Raw genomic sequence first — 21352 nt, 5'->3', positions numbered from 1 at the left:
ATGCTAATTTCTTCTGGAAATCTTCACAGGCACACCCAGAAATAATGCTTTACCAGTTACCTGGGCCTCCCTTAGCCTAGTCAAGTTGACACCTAAAATTAACATCACACTTACCAATCCTGAAATGACATTCCTAGGCAACCGCTCACACCTGCAAGTCTTCCCATGAGGTGCATTTCCAGGCAACACACCTTCAACAGCTCTAAGTGCCTCAGACAAAGGAGTCCTCACCACCATCCTGTAGTCAGGAGGCATGAAATAATATTTCTGAAATATTTTCACATCCCTCTTTGACAGTCTCTAGGGTATTTCCAATTTACCACAACGAAAAGAGAAATACTTTTATTTTGCTGTTTCTTGTAACAACAGGGCCCTAATGATGCAAAGAGATGGAAACAATAATATAACCAATCAGGCATAGGAGAATTTCTTAGCAAACTGGAACTTGTGACTGCTGCAAATCTCAAGAACAGTGAGGGAATCAGCATTTTGTGTATTTGATTAGCAAAAGTAGTTTGACATGTGACATTCCCATACCTGACTCATGGTGAGCCCATGTGACATGTCCCAGATATGTCCCCAAGGGTCATGATGAACACCAGGCAGAAAAATATAGTTTTAAAACACTATTAGTCATGGCATTGAGAATAAGTTTTGAGCTCCTTGTCATACACTATATTTTGGGTGATAAATGATACAACATTTGGATGAGAACGGGCATGTTCAGCGTGGTATGGCCGTAGACAACATTTGGATTTGGAACAGTCCTAGAAAAACATTCTAGTTTCTGAGACTCTGGAAGGTAGAGATACAAACATCAATTATGGCCCAATTTCTTGCTCCAAAATGGACCAGGCTGTCTCTCACTTTTATGCCTTTGTGAATGATTTCTTCTACCTGAAACTCCTCCACCACCACCCCAAACTTTCATTTCCCTTCCTTGCTTCTTCTTTTAGCAAACTCCCCCTCATCCTTCTAGATCCATCATCACCCAAGATAAATCTTTCAGTACTCCCTAACCAGAGTAAATTACTCTTTCCTGCATGACTCCTGACAAATCAAAGATTACCTTGAGTTGTAACCTTCTTTCTCTTTGTTGAATCTCCCATTGGACTATGAGCTCCCTGAGGGCAGGAAATTAGTCTTTTTCATCTTTTTTCCCCTCATATCTAGTATGGAATTTTATACCTATTACATGTAGCACAGGACAGGTATGAAATAAGTGTTAAATGAGTAAATGAGTAGAATGAATAACAAATTCCCTTAACCTAGGCAGGACAGATTAGCAAATTAATAAGAAAAATGAGTTGGTAAACAGGACTAGAAAGGTGACATTTTCCTGTTTCTATAAAATAGTCCGAGATCTCCAAAGAAAAGGAGCTTCAGAAGTATGTGTAACTTTGATTATTTGCTTGGTATGGACATTAAAAAGCAGATAGATGTTTACATTTTTAATAGGCCAGCTACAGACCATATAATCTTCCTGAATTCTTTCCCTAAAATGAAATTCCCTTAAGTAGGTCACGACAGGAAGATGTATCTCAGTGGTCAGGTCCTCTTGCAGTGGAGGCAACTATAAAAATGCCCTTTTCTGGATGTGGTAAGCCAGGATGGCTTGGGATGGTCTGGGAAAACACCATCTATACACCAACCACCTAGAATCTTAAACATAACTAGACTTTCACATGGTTTATTAGTATCCTTCTTGGATCTCAAAATATTTTTAAATAAGATTGAATTCCACATTTACTCTAGAAGAGAAAAACAAAATCTTCCCTTCAGGGTAGTTTCATTCACCCACAATTGCAATACTACTGGTATACTCCACTACCTGAATGCTTATTTAAAAGCCAATGATAAATCACCAAGTGATACAGGAAGATATAAGCAGAAGTCCCTTAAATATTGAACTTCCATCATGAATCTGAAATGAATTGAATTTGCAAATCTTTGGTTTATGCCCTGCTCTTCAGGGACATACTAACTATATAAAGATAGGTATCTGTGAGCAAACAGCCATCCGGGGGCACCCTCAGAAACATGCTAGAATACCCAAAGCCAGGGTTGCATGCACTTCGTTCTTCCAGGACTCTCTGCATTGGGTATTCATTCTGGAAAGCATACAGGCAGTGCAGTTCACCAGATCAGTGTTCAAATCCCAGCCTGCTCACTTCCTGGGTAGATGACTTTGGGAACTTATGGAACCTCTCTGAGCATGCATTTCTCAGCAGTAAAATGGGGCTAATAATGCCTATGGTAACCAGCCTTCAAGATAGCCCTAGTGTTTCCACCTCCTGGCTTTCACATCCTTGTGTAGTCCCTCCTATATTTACCACAGTCAAACTCTATGACTAATAGTATATGGTAGAAGTGATGGCATGTCACTTCTGTAAATTAGGTTATAAAAGACTGTGACTTCCATCTTGGGCTCTCTCTCTCCTCCTCTGTCATATGACTCACTGGGAAAGCCATGTCTTAAGCAGACTCATGGATTCCTTGCTCATATGTCAAGGAATTTTCCTACCAAAAGTCACTGAGTGAGCCTGGAAGCAGAACTTCCAGCCCTGGTCAGGCCTTTAGAGACTGCAGATGCAGCTGACAGCATGACGGCAATCTCATGAACCACTCAGCCAAGTTGCATGTGGATTCTTGACCCTTAGAAACTATATGAGATAATGAACTTTTATGGGTTTAACCTGCTAAATTTTGGGGTTATTGGTTATACAGCAATAGATAACTAATACAATGTCTCTTATGCATTATATGTTGAAATAATATATGTCAAATGCTGAGCATATGCTTGGCACATATTAGGAACTCAAATGATAGCTATAAAAATTTAAATTATATCACTGATAATTATATCAATTAATATTTCACTTTATTGTCATTTATATTTATAAATAATATTTACAGATCCATCACAATGCTTTTCTGTGGGAAAGAAACAAGTAGAAGGAGCATCAGTCTTTTTTTGTTTTTTGGAGACATGGTCTTGCCCTGTCACCCACACTGGAGTGCAGTGGTACAATTATAGCGCACTGCAGTCTTGATCTCCTGAGCTCAACTGATCCTCCTGTCTCAGCCTCCCAAGTAGCTGGGACCACAGGCACATGCACCATGCCCAGCTAATTTTTAAAGTTTTTTTTGTAAAGATGGGATCTCCCTATCTGGAGTTTGCCCAGGCTGGTCTCAAACTCCTGGGCTCAAGCAGTCCTCCCACCTCATCTTCCCAAAGTGCTAGGATTACAGGTATGAACCACCGTGCCCAGCTGGGCATCAGTCTTAACGACAGACTTTTTTTCATGTTTCCTGTTGGTAGCACAAGGCTTAAACTTAGTACCCACAGTTCTAATTTGCAGATACCCACTGATGTCAAGCATTCTGAAAACTAGATTTTTTTCTATGTAAATATTTAAAAGGTAATAAAATAGAAAAAAAGGAAGACTGTCCTCTCTGACCAATAGATACTGCTTTTAAAATAATAATGACCTCTGCTTAGCTGCTACTTCAGTTCACAAGAGTCCGTCTCTCATAGGCCTGCTCTAGGTTAAAGCCCTGGACACAAAGGCTCCTGATTTGAATTATGACTGACTGCTCTGTGGCCCTAAGCAAGTTACTTCCCCTCTGAAAGCTCTGGTTTCGCCATGTGTTAAAATAGAAAAAATGGTACACATCTCAAGGTGTCATTCTGAAGATTAAATAAGATAATGAAGTAAAATGTTCAGAAGAGTGAAGTGGTCAATAACAGTATGCAGCTATTATTATCATTTTCTGCTATGTGGTAGGAATTATTATTATAATTGTTTTAGAGATCAGGTCACCTAGGCCCATCATTGTCAAAGATTTGTTCAAGGTATGGGAGAAAGCTGCTTCTAGCTCCAGCCTTCTGATTTTTTTAAAAACAGTCCCCAAAGAACTGTAACCCTTTTTGGATTTACACAGGTTGCAGTGAATACACGCTTTTTAAAATTACCCTGTGTATAAACTATGGTGATAGAAGCCAGAAAGTGATTGCCTCTGGGTAGAGGTGTGGGAGTAGGGATGGGAGGCAGGGTAGTACAATTGACTAGAAAGGAGCACAAGGGAACTTTCTGAAATAACGCAAATGTTCTATAGCTTGCTTTAGGTAGTTTCATGAGTGGACATGACTATTAAGACTGATGGAACCAAACACATAATTCATCTATATTAATTATACCTCAACAGCAAGAATAAAGTAAACAAAAACCCAAAAAATTACCTCATGTATTCAAAATAAGCATTAGCCCCATCACAATTTCAAGCCCACCCTCCTCTTCTTTCTTCAGACATTGTTATGGGAAGAAAGGACAGCAACTCAGGGTGAACAAGCATGGCCTATACATCCCCAAACCCCCCCATCCCAAAACGCAAAACAAAACAGGAAATAGTAGGGCAAAGGAAGGTGAGCTCCTAAAGGGGCCCTCAGACAACCGCCCCTTTGTCCCTCAAAGGTGGTCTGTGCCCACTTTCCACAGACATGCTGCAAGCCACCCACATAGGCCATGGTCTGACCTGCCCAGGTGGAGACACAAGGTCTCCTGGGCTGTCAATCCTGCACCTTGAACAAATAGGAAATTCTTTTGGGAGGAGGACAGAGTGTGGAAGAGTGAGGATCCTTCTAGCCCACTTTATACACAGCAGAAAAACATCATATATCCAGGTAACTGCAATAATTCAAAAGTTGCTCAAACTTCAACTCCCATTCCTATCCCACCTGCCTGGAAGAAAAGTCCACAGCCCGGCTCAGGGTGAGCTGACGGTTCTGATTTAGGCTGGATTTGTGCCAGTGTGGAGGTGGGTGGTCGAGTATGGAGGGTTTTCTCTCCTAATAGTTTAAATAAAAGCCGCTATGGAAGAAGAGAGAAATATGAGCTCTAGTAGAAAAACTTTTCTTCTCTAAATCTAAGGGAAAATGATGTAGCAGCCAACCTTCAACATTCTGAAGGAGAAGATGCAGAGACCTTTGCAACCTCAGTTAGTAAGTGCCAGGAACTGAGTGTGGAGATTGGGTGATCAGCTAAGTTGACTCACCAGCCATGTGACTCCTTCTGGCCAAATCCTTGCCTCAGCAGAATTATAAATTACCGGGTGCCACAGACCTTCCCGGATCCCTGGCAAGTAGCAAAAACCATGTGTATAATATCCATAATACCAGGGCCCAAGAACAAGAATGTTTGTGCTAAGAAGGGACCTTAAGAACCATGCATTGCAACCACCTCATTTTCCAAAAAAGAATGCAGCCCATATGAAATGGTCTAACACAGGGGTCCCCAGCTTCCAGGGCCACGACTAGTACTAGTCCATGGCCTGTTAGGAACGGGGTTGCACAGCAGGAGGTGAGCGGTGGGAGAGTGACCAAAGCTTCATCTGTATTTATAGCCACTCCTCATCGCTCACATCACCACCTGAGCTCCACTTCCTGTCAGATCAGCCAGCGATGGCATTAGATTCTCATAGGAGCGTGAACTCTACTGTGAACTGCGCATGCGAGGGATCTAGGTTGCATGCTCCTTATGAGAATCTAATGTCTGATGATCTGACACTGTCTCCCATCACCCCAGATGGGATCATCTAGTTGTGGGAAAACAAGCTCAGGGCTCCCACCGATTCTACATTATGGTGAGTTGTGTAATTATTTCATTATTTACTACAATGTAATAATAATAGAGAGTGCAAAATAAACGTAATGTGCTTGGATCATTCCAAAAGCATCCCCCCACCACTGTGGAAGAACTACCTTTCATGAAACTAGTCCCTGGTGCCAAAAAGGTTGGGGACCACTGATCTAACATATGAGGGTTCACGTTTGGAGGAATCAATCTGCTCGGTTGCATTGATCCTATACCCAAGGGCATCTCTGGGCACCTACTCTTGGGAGAAAAATGCTTTCAGGAAGCAAATAATTAGGTAAGAGATGCTAAAGAGGTGAGGAGAGAAAATTGGAACCAGATGACAACATCTTAAGATACTGGTCTCTCTCCTCTTTCCCAAAAGAGAAACCTCGTTGTTGCACCTCTTCAGGGCACAGGCATCTGTGGGCACACGTCCCCACTTCTGGAAGGAAGCTCCTTCAGAACAAAAGCCATACCCAGAAACCACCACTGATCCCCCAAAGCCCCAGACACTGCCATATCCCCCTGTTTGTTCAACAGAACAATATTCACCCCTCTGTGGCCCCAACTTAGATAAAACCATGAAGGAAAAAAGAAATGCTAGCCTTCTGGCTTTCTTCTTCCCCAAATCCCTTCTCATCCACTGCTTCCAGACTGTACCCGTCCATTCCCATCTACGTGCCTGGTTTCCCTAGGAGCCCCAAGCAAAACCAGCATCTTTCACTGGCAACTATGCTAACATTTCTAAATCTTTGGTCACCATTGAAACATAAGGATCTGTCTCATTACTCAGCATACTATTCAAATACAGCTCTTGAAATAATAATAATAATGATAGCTATTATGTTTTTTTCTATATGCCAATACACTTTTAAAGTGTTTTCCATGTATTAACCCACTGAACTCCTACAATAAATCTAGGAGATAAGTATTATCAATTTCCTCACATTTTTAGAGTGGAAATTAGAGACACAAAAAGCAACTTGCCCAGAGTTACTCAGCAGGTGAGCAGCAGCGCTTGGATTCACATGAAGGCAGTCTGGTTCCAGAGCCCATTTCCTGGGTCACTATGCTATTTTATGTCTCCAGGTTACCTTGGTGCCTTTTCTGACTCTCCTCAAAAAAAAAAACACACCATAACCAAAACACAAGTCAGGCACTTTTCCCGGAGAAGGGAAAGAATAGCCTTCTATTCTTACCTCCATTTACCAGCACTTTCCACATTGAGTTAATTTGTATAATCCCCTGTCTCCTCCCCAGGTCTATGAGTTGTTTGTGGAGACAGACTTTATTCATCTCTGTCACAGTTCAATAAATATTTGCTGAATTTCTGAATAAATAAATATATTCATTTAAAAAAGGGCAATGCTTTAACCTAGGAGAGAAAAAGGATCCCTGGTTTATGAATCAAAAGGCTGAGGCTGCAGTCCCTGTCACCAACTAGCTGCGTGACCTTGAGCAATTTCCTTCACCTCTTTAGTCCTTTGTTTCCTCATTGCCAAAATGAAAGGGGTCAGGCTTGATGACCTCTGAGTTCCCTTTCAGCTGTGGTATCCTCAGATCATGGCACCGGGGCAGGCCAGTGAGAGAAGAGACTACAGCAAACTGGTCTCCATGTGTCCCTCACATAACACCCACAAGTGCAGGCACCAACAGTCTGACTTTACCAAGAGTCACCAGGAACAGCAGGTGGGAATGCTAACTGGGAAGGTGGGGTGGCAGACTGCAACCAAGCCCAGTGGCACCACCCTCCACGTGGGAATCACCCAAGAGGGGACATCAAAGGGGTACGAAGAGTCCAACTGCTTTCTGGGGGCTGCTGGCCATTGGTGTGAAAAGAATGAGACCAGCCACTCTGTCTGCACCAAAGCCACCGAAATGCCTGTAAATCAGGAAGGGATTACTCCACTTGAGTAAAACCTGTGATGTTCCTTTCACTGCTTTTCCCCCTACTATCATTACCCAGTCAAGCATGCTTGGCAATGTAAACAGGTGATTAACAGGCAGGTTTTGGAAGAAACCAGGAGTAGGAGCTGGATCTCTGCTCAGCACATGCACTGTGTTCTTCCTCACCTCCTCGCCTCTGAGCAGGAACCCATTTAGCCACATGGCTGCCCATCCCTCTGGAGGAAGATTTCTCCTAGGGGCAGGGGAAGGTGTATCGTGATGGTGGGAAACTCCTTTATTCAGCAACACCAAGATGAAGCTGGCATGAGAAATCAGACTCAGAACTCAAGCTGGCAAAACATCTGATGGGGTGCTGGCGGCCAGAGACAACAACATGGGTTATGGAGAGTCACCAATGGCAGAGGATGCCAATCAGCCAAAGGATTCCCTGTGTTTTCTGGCCTGTTCTCTGAGGCCAGCTCATTTCACCCAGTCATAACACAGGTTTTAACAAAAGCTCAGAGCTGAGAAATAAGGCTTTTGTGTCTTGTCCTCCAGGTTATAGGTATTTTTATTGGAAGGTGCCTTCTTTCCCGGGCAAATATTTTATGGGGTGTCTTTGAGTGAGTGGCCCAGAAAACAGAGGAAGGAGATGTTAAAAAAATAAAAAGAGAGAGAGAGGACTTTTAAGATTACAAGTAAAGTCCAGATGAGGGATAGAAAGGCTCCACTGTCATCACAGCAAGTCAAGAAACCTGCCCCAACAAGAGACACAACTTAAAGGTTGGGCTCAAATTTATAGATGTTCTTTTTCTGGCTTCAAAGACAGTACAGTGTAGGGATATTTTTTTTCCTCTAGAATGAAAAAAATCTCAGAGTTGGAAGGACCTTTGAGCCCAAACAATATCTAATACATAAATCCCTTCTACAATCTTTCCAACAAGTGTTAACCCATTCTCTGCATCCTCACTTCTCGGACAGGAAACTTATTATTTGCCCTTTCCACTTCAAAGAAGCTCCCATCATTGGAGGCTTCATTGAGAACCTGAGCTGAAATTTGCTTTCCAGAAATGTCTACCCATTTTTCATCACTCCATACAACATAAGCCTAAGTGCTAGGCTACTGATTATCTTCAAAATATTTGAAGACAGTCCTTAATTTTCTCTTTCTGGGTTTAGTAACCCTAAAATCATCAACCAAAATATCTCCTCAGCCTAGATGTTTTCCTCTGGACTCATGCCAGCTAATTTTTATCTTAACATCTTTACCAAAATGAACACTCCTTTTGTAGTAGGCCCATGACAGAAGGAGACAGGATGATTAGAACTTTTTTAGAACTCTTCATGCCCATCATTACTATTTTCTCAGTGTGGACATGTCACATTGTAGACTGGTGACATTTGTAACCAAAATCTAACTCTTGTCACACATATTATTGCCAGGCTAAATATTCTTCCATCCTGCTCTTGTACAATTGGTTGTTTCAGCCAGAGTACAGAATTTATATTTTCCCTAGCAAATATCCTCTGGTTTGGAATTGTTCAAGCTGTTTGAGACATCTGGTTTCAGATTAAGTCACCCACAGGCTCACAAAACTTCCAAACATTGTGTCTTCTATTAATCTGATCAACATGCACGTCATCTTTGTCTAACCAAGCCATCAGTATAGAGGTTGAACAGAACAGACCAGAGGCCAGAGCTCTAAAGGGTGCCTGCCATCAGTGCCTTCTTTTCAGATTAATATTTTTCAAGGATCGGTATTTTTTTAGTGTTGTCTCACAGTCCTCCAAGGCTCCTGGGCCTAACATCCAAATCCTTCAGTGAGATCTGGTCTTGGCAAAGTTTCCCAGTACAAAGAACAATTTGCCTTTCCCAACACATCCTACCATTGCTTGCTTCCAGGTCCAACTTTGCTTCTTTGCCTAAAATGCACTTCTCTTGTTTATTCACCGGGGGGGATCTCCTACTAATTTTCAGGTCTCAGTTCAAAGTTTCAACCGCCTGTGATGCTATTTTCTGCTCCATGTGCAGAATTAGGTGTTCCCAGAGTATCCTATATGATCCCCTCCTATAGTACCTAACATATGGAGCTGCAACTGCCTGCCGGTCTCTCAGAAGACTAGGTACAGAAAATGGGTGGTACATCTACCATTATCCCCTTTCTATCCTCAAGGAAGATTGTTCTAATCAATCACTGTGTCCAGACAAAGCCTCAGAATTCTCCCCAACACAATCCTCCAGGCAGCCACTACCAATTAATAGATTGGATCTGACACTTAAGTTGAAACTCTATACTATTTTATATTTCCTTAGGGGCAATGCCATGCCTCATTCACCTTGTATCACTAGGCCTAGCAAAGTGTCTGGCGTAAAATTAACTCAATAAACACCTGGTGAGTGAATGACTTTGTTTCCCAGAGAGTAGCATTTAAAAAATAAATTTTCCCATGCTCATATAAGATCTCTATATACAAAATAATTCTGGTAGTGGCAAGAGGTAGTCTTTTGCACTAATTGTGATTAATATTCAAGAATAATAATTGACTACTGCTTAAGAATGTTCTCCACCTGATTCTGAGCAGAGCTTCCTGAAAAGCCTGGCCTGATTGGTCTTGGTGTCCATAGCCCTCATGTGATACTTATGCATGCAGGGCCTTAGTGGCCGGGAACCAATTTGACTGCCTTCCCAGCTTTCTATATCCTAAATCTCTATTAGCTGATAGCAATTTTAGGAGGTCTGAATGCCAGGGTTGAAAATGGATCTGCCAAAGTTTTATCTATTAAAAAAATGTATATCATGAGGATTGTTTTCCCATGGAACACTCTTCAGAGACAGTGCCTGAACAAAAAGAAAAATTCCTAGAGAAACTCATTTATTATCACACTCTAGTGTTGATAAAGATAGCCCCTGGGATGAGCCCAGAGGCAGCTGTGCTTATGTAAAGGTCAAATAAGGGCCAGCAGCATCACCAGCTATTATTAATTATTTAGTAATTAGCCATTCTTTACCTATCTCTGCCTATGGACAGGGTATTTTAGATCTACATTTAATCTAGTCTCCAACACTACTCTTACAGAGTCACAGTGTACACAGAACAGAACTTGTAAATTAGGAGGATAAGAAAATAAGACAGAACAGTCTCCGTCATTTTCATAAGTAACTTTCAGAGGCCTAAAGAATTCCTAGTGCTATATTTAAACCACATTTGGGGGCTTTGTGAGGATGCTTCATAAATTGGAAGTGGTTAGTAGTACTTGACTGATAAATATTTACTGCGTGGATGGATGGATGGATGGAAGGATAGATGGATAGATGGATGGATATGCAACTTCATGTATGAAGCAACTAGAAAACCAGACATTCTATCACTTGATTCAACTGCTTAGAAACCGAAAAGAACCTGGCATAATCAACAAACAGAGCCAACACCTCAAACAGAGCTCAAATTAAATCACGAGTAAGTTTACTAGATTCAGATTCTTTTACAGGCAGAGTCTTTTAAAGAAATAATATAAAAGATTATAAAGAAAGACTTTGGGTTCAGCCATCGGGGCTACTTATGATTATTGATTTGGACGTACTTGCATACAGCATGACTTCCACAGCAGTACTGCAGGAACACACATTGTGGTTCTCTCTCCTTGTATGAAGACTCAGGTTTTTCTCCAGCTGGGAAACTATTACCCCATCAGCTTCTAAACATATTATCATTTGCCTCAAGCTGGAAAAGGCCCCATGAGAAGAATATTTTGGCTATTAGACATTTCTAGATTTTGCTCTGAGTAAAGGGCTCCAATCTTTCCATGCTTATTAATTCCTTGGCATTCTTTAATCAGCAATACTAATAGCTAACATTTATTAAGCTCTTACTTTGAACCAGGCACTGTTCTCAGCATTATACATGCATCATCACATTTAATTCTTAGAAGAGCTCTTGTAGTCATTACTATTATTACCCACATTTCACAGGTGAGGAAGGAGGCACTGTGATGGTAGGCAATTTCTTATGTCATCCAGCTAAAACATGGTAGACCCTGAACTCACACCCAGTAGCCTGTCCTCCTAACCACCAAAACCCTCCATTAAATGACACGGGTCCATACCATTTTCATAAAGGAAAGATCCTCACTCCCTTAATCCTTACTTTTTGGGGACCCCTACTCCAACCACTACTATAATAAAACACACACAAAAAAATCTATTTCAGCTTAGATCATTCTATTTCTATTTCAAAGTAGAAATGTTTCTACAAAGATAATTGAGTTTCTCTACCTTGATCTCATGCTGGTACTTCTTGTTCTCTCCAACTCCTAAATTAGCATTACTCAGGTCTGTTTTGAGGGAAGTTCTATGATTATGTTTTCTGAGGTCAAATAAGCTTGAAAAATGGTGGATTAAACAGCTAAACATCTCTTCACTATAAGACTCTCACTTCTCAGGGTCTTTATTTATTGGTATGCATTATACAACTTCAAGGGTGGGCCAGGATATAATACGCAGTGTTTTGCAAACCTATCTGACTAGAGAACCCTTTTGTCACAGAATACCTTGAAGGCCCCCCAGAATACACACAGGAAAATGCTGCCAGAAAGGAAAGGGGTCCCCATGTCTGTGGCATCGGCCCTCATCTCAGACCACAGGCTATCTTTCTAGTTTGCCCCAAGTTCTCTCTAAATTATATACAGGCTTTCATCTCCACCTCATCTCAACTCACTCCCTCTCACAAACTCTGTCCCTTCGGCAAACTACAATAGAAGACATCATCCATAATGGGAGCAGGAGGGTATTTTTTATTCTGTATGGATTCATTTTATAATTTTCAGGTCAAATTTAGTGCCAGGAAAAAGTCATCACTCCAGATGAGCTTCCTCTCAGCAGATAATAGGAACCAAGTCATCTGCTTGGGTTTCCTTTTTCTGCCTTCCTTATGAGACTCCTATTTAAATAAATAAAGCTTTCCTCAAAGCTTGCGTTCCTGCTCAGCTGTAAGATCTGACTCATTCCAAGTTTCTGGGGCTTCTATCTCTCCCTCTTCTAACAGTTTATTTTCCTTTAAATTGTCCTTTCAACATAAGCCTTAATAGTTGGGGTTTCAAACCCTTTAGAGGAAATTAATTAATTGGTTAATTAATTAATGAAATTATTCAACAAATGGAGGCTCAGGACCTGTAATGCAACAGGCTTCATATACCATGAGGACTGAACAGGCTGCGGTCTGCACTCTCCTGAAGTTTGCAGCCTTGTGAGGGAGACTGGCAAGAAATAAGTACATAACTATGCAGTAGTAACAAATTGTGAAAAGGCCTCACAGTACTTATAAAAAGAGAATGAATGCCCTGGATGAGAGTAACCAGGGCAGCAGATGGAGCAGACAGGGCTCCACCTTTAGGTTTTCTGGAAAGAGGGAAGGATGAAAGATGAATAGGTTGGTGCTGAGGAGCAAAGTCAGCAGAGGCTAGACCCACAGAGTCCTGTAAGCCAAGCCATGGCAAGGATTTCAGCCCTAAACCTGTAAGCAAATGGCAGCCGTGAAGGAGTTTTAAACCAAGAAAGCTCATGATCAGATTTCTGTTTAAAAAAAAAAAAATCACTCCAGCTACAATGTGGTGAATAGATTAGAAGGGGACAGAGAAAATGTACAGAGACCGTCAGGAGACTGCTGCAAGTTGCAGGTCTTGAAACTGTTAAGCAAATAACAATTAGGTTTATTTCCGATCAGTTCCTCATCGTCAAGGAATGGTAATGGTGTTGTCAAAGCAAAATGGAAGTAAAGGTATATAAAAACGCTTGCAAATACTCAGGGATATTTGGAAATAATGCATTCACAAGCATTCCACATGAGTCCTGTAAGGCCCTTCACCTCCCTGGTCCTTCACGGGCAGACCCTGCTATACACTCCATGCTACTGAAGGACACCAAGGCCCTTCTGGAGTCCCCAAGGCCACACCATCTGCCCACACTTAGCTGGGTGCCAAAGTGGGGCAAGGAAGCAGATGTAAAGGAGAAAAAGATGGCATGTGATTGAGCCAGATGCCGGAGAGGTCCTTGAAGGAAAGCACTCTAGAAGCACTACTCACTCAGGAGGAATGTTTCTATGGTCAGAATCCAGGCTTGAGGTTAAGAAAACTTTTACCCTCACCCACAAGCAGCCTGCAAAGCCTCACCTGCGCACATTAACAATGAGCCTCTTTGTCTTGTTTGATATGTTCTTACTAATTCATCAGATAGTTTATAAACTTTGACAGCATACATCAAATGGGACCAGTCTCATTCATTCACTGTTTCCCCCCCAAAATGTCTAATAAATATATAGGAGCTGATAAATTTTCCTCTTTAAAATTAAAATATAAATCTTCCCTTTAAAAATCAATATCCCTTAAATTTTCTCTAATAAAGAAAAATATAGAGATCTCCTCCGGCCTGCTGTAAGAAGCAATGCTATTTACTTACTGAGTCTTCAGCCATCCTGTACATTTCTATTGTCCTCCCTGTAACCTTGTGCTACCTTCCTGAAAATGCCACCTCACCCTACTCCCTCCAGGGCCAATCCCTTTACCACAATTTTACAAATGAAGAGTAAAAAGTATAGGCTAAAATGCATTTTACTCTTGCCAAGTGCCAGATCTTACACGAGTGCCTTATACACATTGTCAGGCAATTATTACAACGTCAGGTGATGTGCGTTATGATCCCCATCAGACAGATGAGGAAACTTGAGACTTGAGTTCAGCAATTTGCCCTCATCACACATTGAGCAGCAGAGGCACATCTGAATCTATGTTGATCTGGCTCCGAAGCCTAACTTTTTAACCACTATGGCCTTCCACACGCAGAGGAATTTAACTCTGTACCCAGAGGAATTTTTCTTTCAACTCTGGGCAAAGTTATTAACTGATTGGGTCTTGGTAGCTGAATATGAACAAAACTGAAAGCCAGGCCCTTTCCATTAAACCAAGCATGTAAGGGGAAATAACTCTGCCTCACTAGAAAATCTTAAGTTGGACACATGAAAGAGAAAGTTAGCGCTAATCATTGTGTGCCCTCGTTTTCTAAGAAAGTTTTTCCTTTCCAAGAAAGGAAAAACAATGCACATGGCATACCAGGTAGAGTTGTTTAATGTTATTTCATTGCAGAAAAGTTATTGCTTTCTAAGACAAAGCTATTTATTTTTTTTCTGGCAACTCAATGGCAAGTAAGAATATAATACATGAGATTCTCACTGGATGAGCTAAGCAGTCTTCTACTTGCTGTATTTTGGCTTTAGGGGATGAGGCTGTGTAGTGCAACCTCATTGCTGTATAGCCAACCTAAAACATAGCCTTGAAACGACAAAAAGAAGAGGAAGAAAGAGAACGAATGAAAGAACTGACCTAAACACATGTTCTCACACACACACGCGCACACACACACACACACACACACACACACACACACACCCCTTTCGTGGAAACACATGCATACATACTCTTTCATGGAAACAGCTTCCAATTTGTTTCATAATTGCATTGAGTCATCTGGGCTAACATTCAGACCATTTCTCAAATTCACCATGCCCCTTACAGACATAAAAATTAGGCATTTAAGGAAATTTCCCTCCTCTCCATCTAATATATTTCACTTTAGGTAGTTGGATGGAGGTGGTTGGGGGAAGAGGGGGCAGAAGTTTTGGAAATCAGAGTTGATGAATTGCAAACGTGTGCAAGTGATGCACAGGGTGGGAGGAAGTAAAAAATGAAATTCTTCTGTGAAAATAATGCACATGTCCCAGGAAAATCAGTCACACATTTTTTATGAATCAATAGACCAGTGCTTTCTTTATATGTGTGCCAAGCAGCATTCCTGGATAACTGTTCCATGTCTCATGAGGTGTAAGCCACTTCACTCCATCTTATTAGAAACATTCAAAACAAGGCAAAGATTTTGAAACCCATAAAATTTATGAAATCCTAAGCATACCAAAGACAGAATGAACGAGGGACTCCTCTATTTAACTGGCTTTAACTTACATTCACTTTCGCAGCTTAACCCACCTTTAAAATCCCACCAAGATTTGAAAACATTAATAACTATAAACCATTTTAAAATATAGTCTCCCACTTTCTCAACAACCTCAAAACTCACTTGCTTAAAACTTCAAGGACACAAAAATAAATCCCAGAGTGCCAGGAAAATTGACTATAACCTTTGTCACTCACCTGATTGCTTACCCACCTCACAGGCCATTTGCAAGATTAGTAGGCAATGTAGCTACCAGACTTTGTATTCCCTCTAAATTCCAGACAGTAGTTAATGAGGAGAGAAGTGATCAAGGAAGCCTATTTATTCTGAAGCCCAGTTCATGGTGGCAAGCAGAATACATTCTTCAGAACAACCAATCAATACACCACCATAAACTTGTGAGTGTGCAGTTTTAAGTAACATAGAAGTATTTAATTTTTCTACTACAAGGTAGACTGAAGGGAAAACTCAGTTTAAATATTTACTATTTTAATTTAGCAGTGATTATAAACATGGCATACCAGGTAAAGTTAAGAAAGAAGAAAAAAAGCAAGTGTAAACCATGGCTCTGCCCTCAAGGTTCTTAATTAGGGCTCAGAAATTCAACTGATTTTATTCTTTAATGCCCTTTTCACAGACGAGGAAACAGAAGCTTAGAAAGGCAAAGTAATTTCCCCCAAAACACACAGCAGAGCTAAGATTTAAACATAGCCCTGTCTAATTCTAAAGCCTTGCTGAAAAAACTAACTGCACTTCAGATAGTAAGACCTGGACGTTTTTCATTGTAAATTCAATAAAAGCTAACACAGAGTGCTTATTTCACTCCAGGCATTGTTGTAGGCACTCAGCACAAACTAATTTATTTACTCCTTATAATAACTGTATAAATAAGTACTATGATTACCCCTGACTTTACAAATGAAGACAAGTTTACAGAGAGGTTAAACAACTTGCCTAGGGTCAAACATTTCATAAATGGTAAGTCTGAATTCAAACCAAGACAGCCGGCTTCAGGCTGTTCTCTATGCCATTCCATTATCTACCTGTCTAAGGCATGGTGGCCCCAAAAGGTCCAGCAAATGCTGGTTCCATTAGTAGGATAATAACAATACCCAGAACCTTAAAAGAAATGCTCCACCATACTCTATGCTTATCAGATTATACCTGGTCTACTTCATTCAGATATCTTTACAGTATTTTACAAAAAAAAATTGATGAAATGAAACTTGCCCTGTGGAGAGCAAGAAGGAGAGAAAATGTGGAAGCAATGTCCAAAGATCATGGAGAAATTGGGGCTGTTTGACCTGGACAAGGAAACTTCAAGGGCACACATTTATCATCCTCCAAAAATGTCAAGAGGGCCTTAACCACTCTAAGAAGAAGTAGGAAGCAGCCCAGGGACCTTACTCATTCATCATTCATTTGCTTTTTTACTGAGTGGCCTGTAGGTGTCAAATGGAGAAAATGCTCCCTAGCTTAATAACTTTTGTACTTCAGAAGTGGAAGTACAGCTCACTCATCAATGAAATTCTTTTCCCAGAATGTATCCAGCAGAAGTGGGAAGAACAGATAACAGAGACCAACCATCTCAGCACCCGGTGGAAAGTTGGACAAGTGATCTATGAGACCTTGCTAATAAGCAGATGCTATGATTCATGTATCCTGTCCTGCACTACCACTGCCAAAAAATGCCATCAAAATCCTCACAAATTACAGCTCTTAATTATCTTTAAGAGGCCAAAAGAAGCAACCTTCAAAAAAGAAGGAAAAAAAAGTCTTAAATGGCTTTTACATTGAGAATTTGACAAGTTTAAACAAAAGTGAAACATACCACACTTTGAAAATATGCCAAAGGACTACTTGTGTTCTAAAACAAGAGAGTAATTATGCAGGAAAAATGCAATTTCTCTCCTCCATTTCCTTTATCTCAAGTTCCTCTCTCATTAATTTATTCATGAACATATCTCAATAATAACTATCTTGTACTTAGAGAGTATCTTGCCCATTTTTAAATGTTTTTACATAAACAAGAAACTGGCATCAGCATCATGGTTCTCTCTGAGCGACGAGACCAGTTCTTAACAGGTTAGCCCTGAGCAACATACAGCAGTAGCGGTCTCTCACCACTGGCTACTCTAGCAAAACATTTTACAATTTCTGAGTCAGGAGAAGTATCTAAGGTCAAGATCTATAAACACATTCCAGAATATGAGCACTTCCAAGTAAAAAAACCAATCAAACCCACTGCAATGGGCAGACAATCCTTCCCATGGACTACTGTAATCTTTGTTAAAATTAAGATTCATGCTTATTTTAGTTTTGCTATTAGTGTGGCTTTTTAAAATTTCTTTTTTCTTGAACCATGTATTACTTGGAAAAAAAACATAATAAAAATATTCTGCTATTTCAAGACATCCTTCTAGATAGGATAATGAATTTTCCATAGATAAAGAATATTCTACCTGCACCAGTCCTGTGAGTTTTTAGTGATACTTTTTCTTTTGACTTGATCAATGGACTGAGAGATTGCATGAATCAGTCAAAACAATTTAAATGAATCTACGAAGAGACAGTAACAGGATTCTACCATGTCAGGATAAGACTCCAGCCTAGGCCTGCTCACTCCTTCTGGGTGTTGCTTCAATGCAAGTTTTTGTTTGTTGGTTTTGTTTTGTTTTTTAAAGAACGGGTTGGAGGAGTGGGGTGGGAGATAATACACACTAAGAAGAAAAACAAACTCTCCCAACAACAACAAGAAAATTCTTACTCTATAGTTTACAATACTATTGGAAACAGAAATATCATTTAGCTGTAGCCAGAATCACTCAAACAGGCACTCAGCCCTGAATCAAGGAGCAAACATATCAGTGGAAGGTACGTGTCTCCATGTAGCCTTGATGACTCCAGAACTAAGAACAAAGAGAAATCATAGCAGGATCTGGTGACAGCAGTTCACAGCAGGTCTCTCACATCACTTACAACCTCGATTTGGGGGGAGGAGAGAGAAGAGAAAAAAGAAAAGAGAAGACAGAATACCTCTCTATTGGAACACTGTCTCCAAAAAAATAAAATCATAAATATATCTGAAAATCCTGGGAATGTAAATACCCTCTCAAATCATCTCCCACCCTCTCACTGTCCTTCTTTGGGTTTGAGGAACCAAAAGAGATTATAAAAACCACAACATATTCTTGCTATTGTGGGATTTGAAGAAACCAAGAGATTGTGACTAACAAAGTCTATGAAGATAATTGTGTTTCCATTAGCACCACTAATGAAGAGAAGTGAGAGATAAATAATGGACAATCCAAAAACCATTTGTATTTGATCCTACAGTAAGATAGATGAGTTCTCTTGCATTAGGCTAGGCTTCCTAAATATTTCCCCACTTTTTAAGCCAAGGATAAAATCAGACTGCCTTCAAGAACACACACTAACCAATGATGGAAGAAAAGGCCAAGAAAGGCTGGGTGGCCTTGGACAAATCTGAGAGGAATTCAACTTGGTGGTGTGTATATCTTTCAATCTATCCTTTAGGGAACACCAACTATATGTCAGGAGCTACGTTCACTACTTACATTATCACCTCTACTAAGTGTTTGGATAGCACTGCCCTATAAGTACTACCAACCCCATGTTGCAGGGAGAAAAAAAAAATAAGCAAAAGGAGGTTAAAGAACTTACCTGGCCACCAACTGGGAGCTGGGCTCAGGCCTAAATATATGTGTCACCAGTGCCTATATTCTTTCTACTATGCCTTGCTGCTTCCCATTTTTAAGAGACAATTCTCACAGTGGAGAATTCCCAGGCAGATCATCAAAAGAGGATGTGTACAGCATTTCACAACAGACACAAAAGTATTCAGATTTACCAGGGAAGGGTGATATTTAACCGTTTACTAATGGGAACTACTGTAGACCACCCTGGCATAAAATATGAATTTCTTCAGAGATGTGTATGTTGACAGTTTCTGCTGAAAGCATGCAGTTTGTTTGTTGCTACTTCTCCACCAAGTTTATTTAATAGAATATTTTGCAAAGCTACATTTCAGGTTAGCTCTTACACTTTGACAAATGCAGTATAAGATTGGCGTTAAATCTCAACAGCATCTCATTAGTGTAAATTAGGGACTCAATATTTACAACTAGAAAACAAGTGGTTAAGAGACCCCAGCTAAGACAAGTTTCATTAAAACTATAATGACTTAATACACATTATGCCCAGTTTCAGAGAGCTTCAAGCTCCCTAATCATTTTCTGGATGGTTTCCATTCCAACCAGCTTCCATGTTGGTGTAAACCCATCAGTCTCCAGTAGGGATAAGCATGGGAAAATGAACATAGTGTTAAGTCTACAGAGACCTTGTTGCAATGTCAAAATCAAGTTTTGTCAGTTTAAATTACAGCTTTACAAAATAGGCACTGTCAAGGCAAATGTCTCCTGGAGCCTGTATGGTTGCCTGGAGCAAATGTTCTACCAAGTTGGGTAGAGAAACCGGTTTCCATTTGTCTGGCAGTTTTCTCACTGCTTCCAAGGTGCTTGGCAGTGATAACACATTCTACAAACTGGTAAACATGACAGAGCAACTGGGGTCTCCAGAGTGCATCAACTTCTGATGCTCCACAGGGGAACGATCTCTCATAGCAACCAATCAAGTTCTTTGCTCACAACATCCCTCTATTTACTCCCATTGTAACTGGAAACCCACAAGCTTTCACTGAAGCACTTGCTAACTTCCTCAGCTCGAGGCCTCAACTTTTCAACACAAAGGACCCCTTCTGGATTCTTCCCCTGTGGGTACCATGTTTCAAAGACTCCATCTGTCATGTACTTATTATGGTGACCAGAACTGTCTCCTTTTCATAGATTTTGAAATACTGAAAATAGCTCACAGACTCCACTACTACCTAAGTTCGGAGACATCAGTCTGGAAAGCAATAAAATTATAATGTGAAGCAGGAAATAACAACCATAACATTTCACATTTATTGAGTGCTTATTATTTATGCCAGGTGTTGTGCTAAGTGCATTATTTGCATTATCCAGTTTAATACCGACCACAACCAAGTGAGGTGGGCAATGTAATTATCTTCCTCATGGAAAGATTCAGAAACATTAAGTAATTTGCCCAAGGCCACCAAGCTAGTGCCAGAGCAAAGTTTTGAATTCTTGCTCTGTGACTTCAAGCCACTACTATCCTCTACTCCACTGGTTCCCCAGCCTCTCACTCCCAGTGGCACTTCCAGATCCCTCTTCTCCTTTTGGAGAATTTCATATGCACTGTACACACTTTGGGGACTCTTGGAAAGGTTTGAGTTATCATTTTACACCCCTCAACATTTCCATCCTCAGTCTGGGAAGGGATACTACTTACCCTCACAGGAGAATGACAGGCAGATGACAGACAGAGACAGCAAGAACACCTAGAGCATCAGACACATTCAGCCCAAGTCAAGAGCATTCCAGAATACACCAAACTGCTAGGTGTTTAGTTACTATTAATATATACCCACACCTAACTTGGTCTACTCAGAGTAATAATGTTGGAACCTTTCTCCTGGGCATCTTAGAGTCTTTCAAATATTTCCTTCTAAATTCTCTTCTTTTAATGAGAAAGGCAAAAAGGCTTTAATAGGCGATGCCTCAAGATTTATGATGAAAATACTAACATAGCCTTGGACAATGAAGCCTGGGAACTCTTGCTACCTAATTCCTATTCTCACCACAAGGGGAAAAGAAAGTACCTAAGTGGGCTGGGGGCAGCAGCTTCCTCTAGATGCTCAGAGTTCAAATTATGGGCTCTCTAAGGATAGCTAAATGTCCGCATGCA

At 40.7% G+C, this 21352-nt stretch overlaps 1 protein-coding gene across 3 annotated transcripts in view; it reads right to left on the bottom strand.

The window, feature by feature from the left end:
- ROR1 (receptor tyrosine kinase like orphan receptor 1) overlaps positions 1-21352 on the bottom strand; it is a 407482-nt gene that overhangs the window by 289892 nt on the left and 96238 nt on the right. Inside the window, exon 1 of one of the 3 annotated variants that reach the window (XM_011541526.2) lies at positions 115-21352. This exon is cut by the window's right edge and continues 26387 nt beyond it. The exons of the other annotated variants lie outside the window; for them this stretch is intronic. The gene's annotated coding sequence lies outside the window, so the exon portion shown is untranslated. The remainder of the gene's footprint in view (positions 1-114) is intronic. 3 annotated transcript variants of the gene reach the window in all.

This window comes from Homo sapiens, chromosome 1 (genome assembly GCF_000001405.40).
Source record: "Homo sapiens chromosome 1, GRCh38.p14 Primary Assembly".
Taxonomy (NCBI): domain Eukaryota; kingdom Metazoa; phylum Chordata; class Mammalia; order Primates; family Hominidae; genus Homo; species Homo sapiens.
Note: the sequence above shows the minus strand (reverse complement) of the source record. Positions and strands in the feature narration are given on the sequence as shown.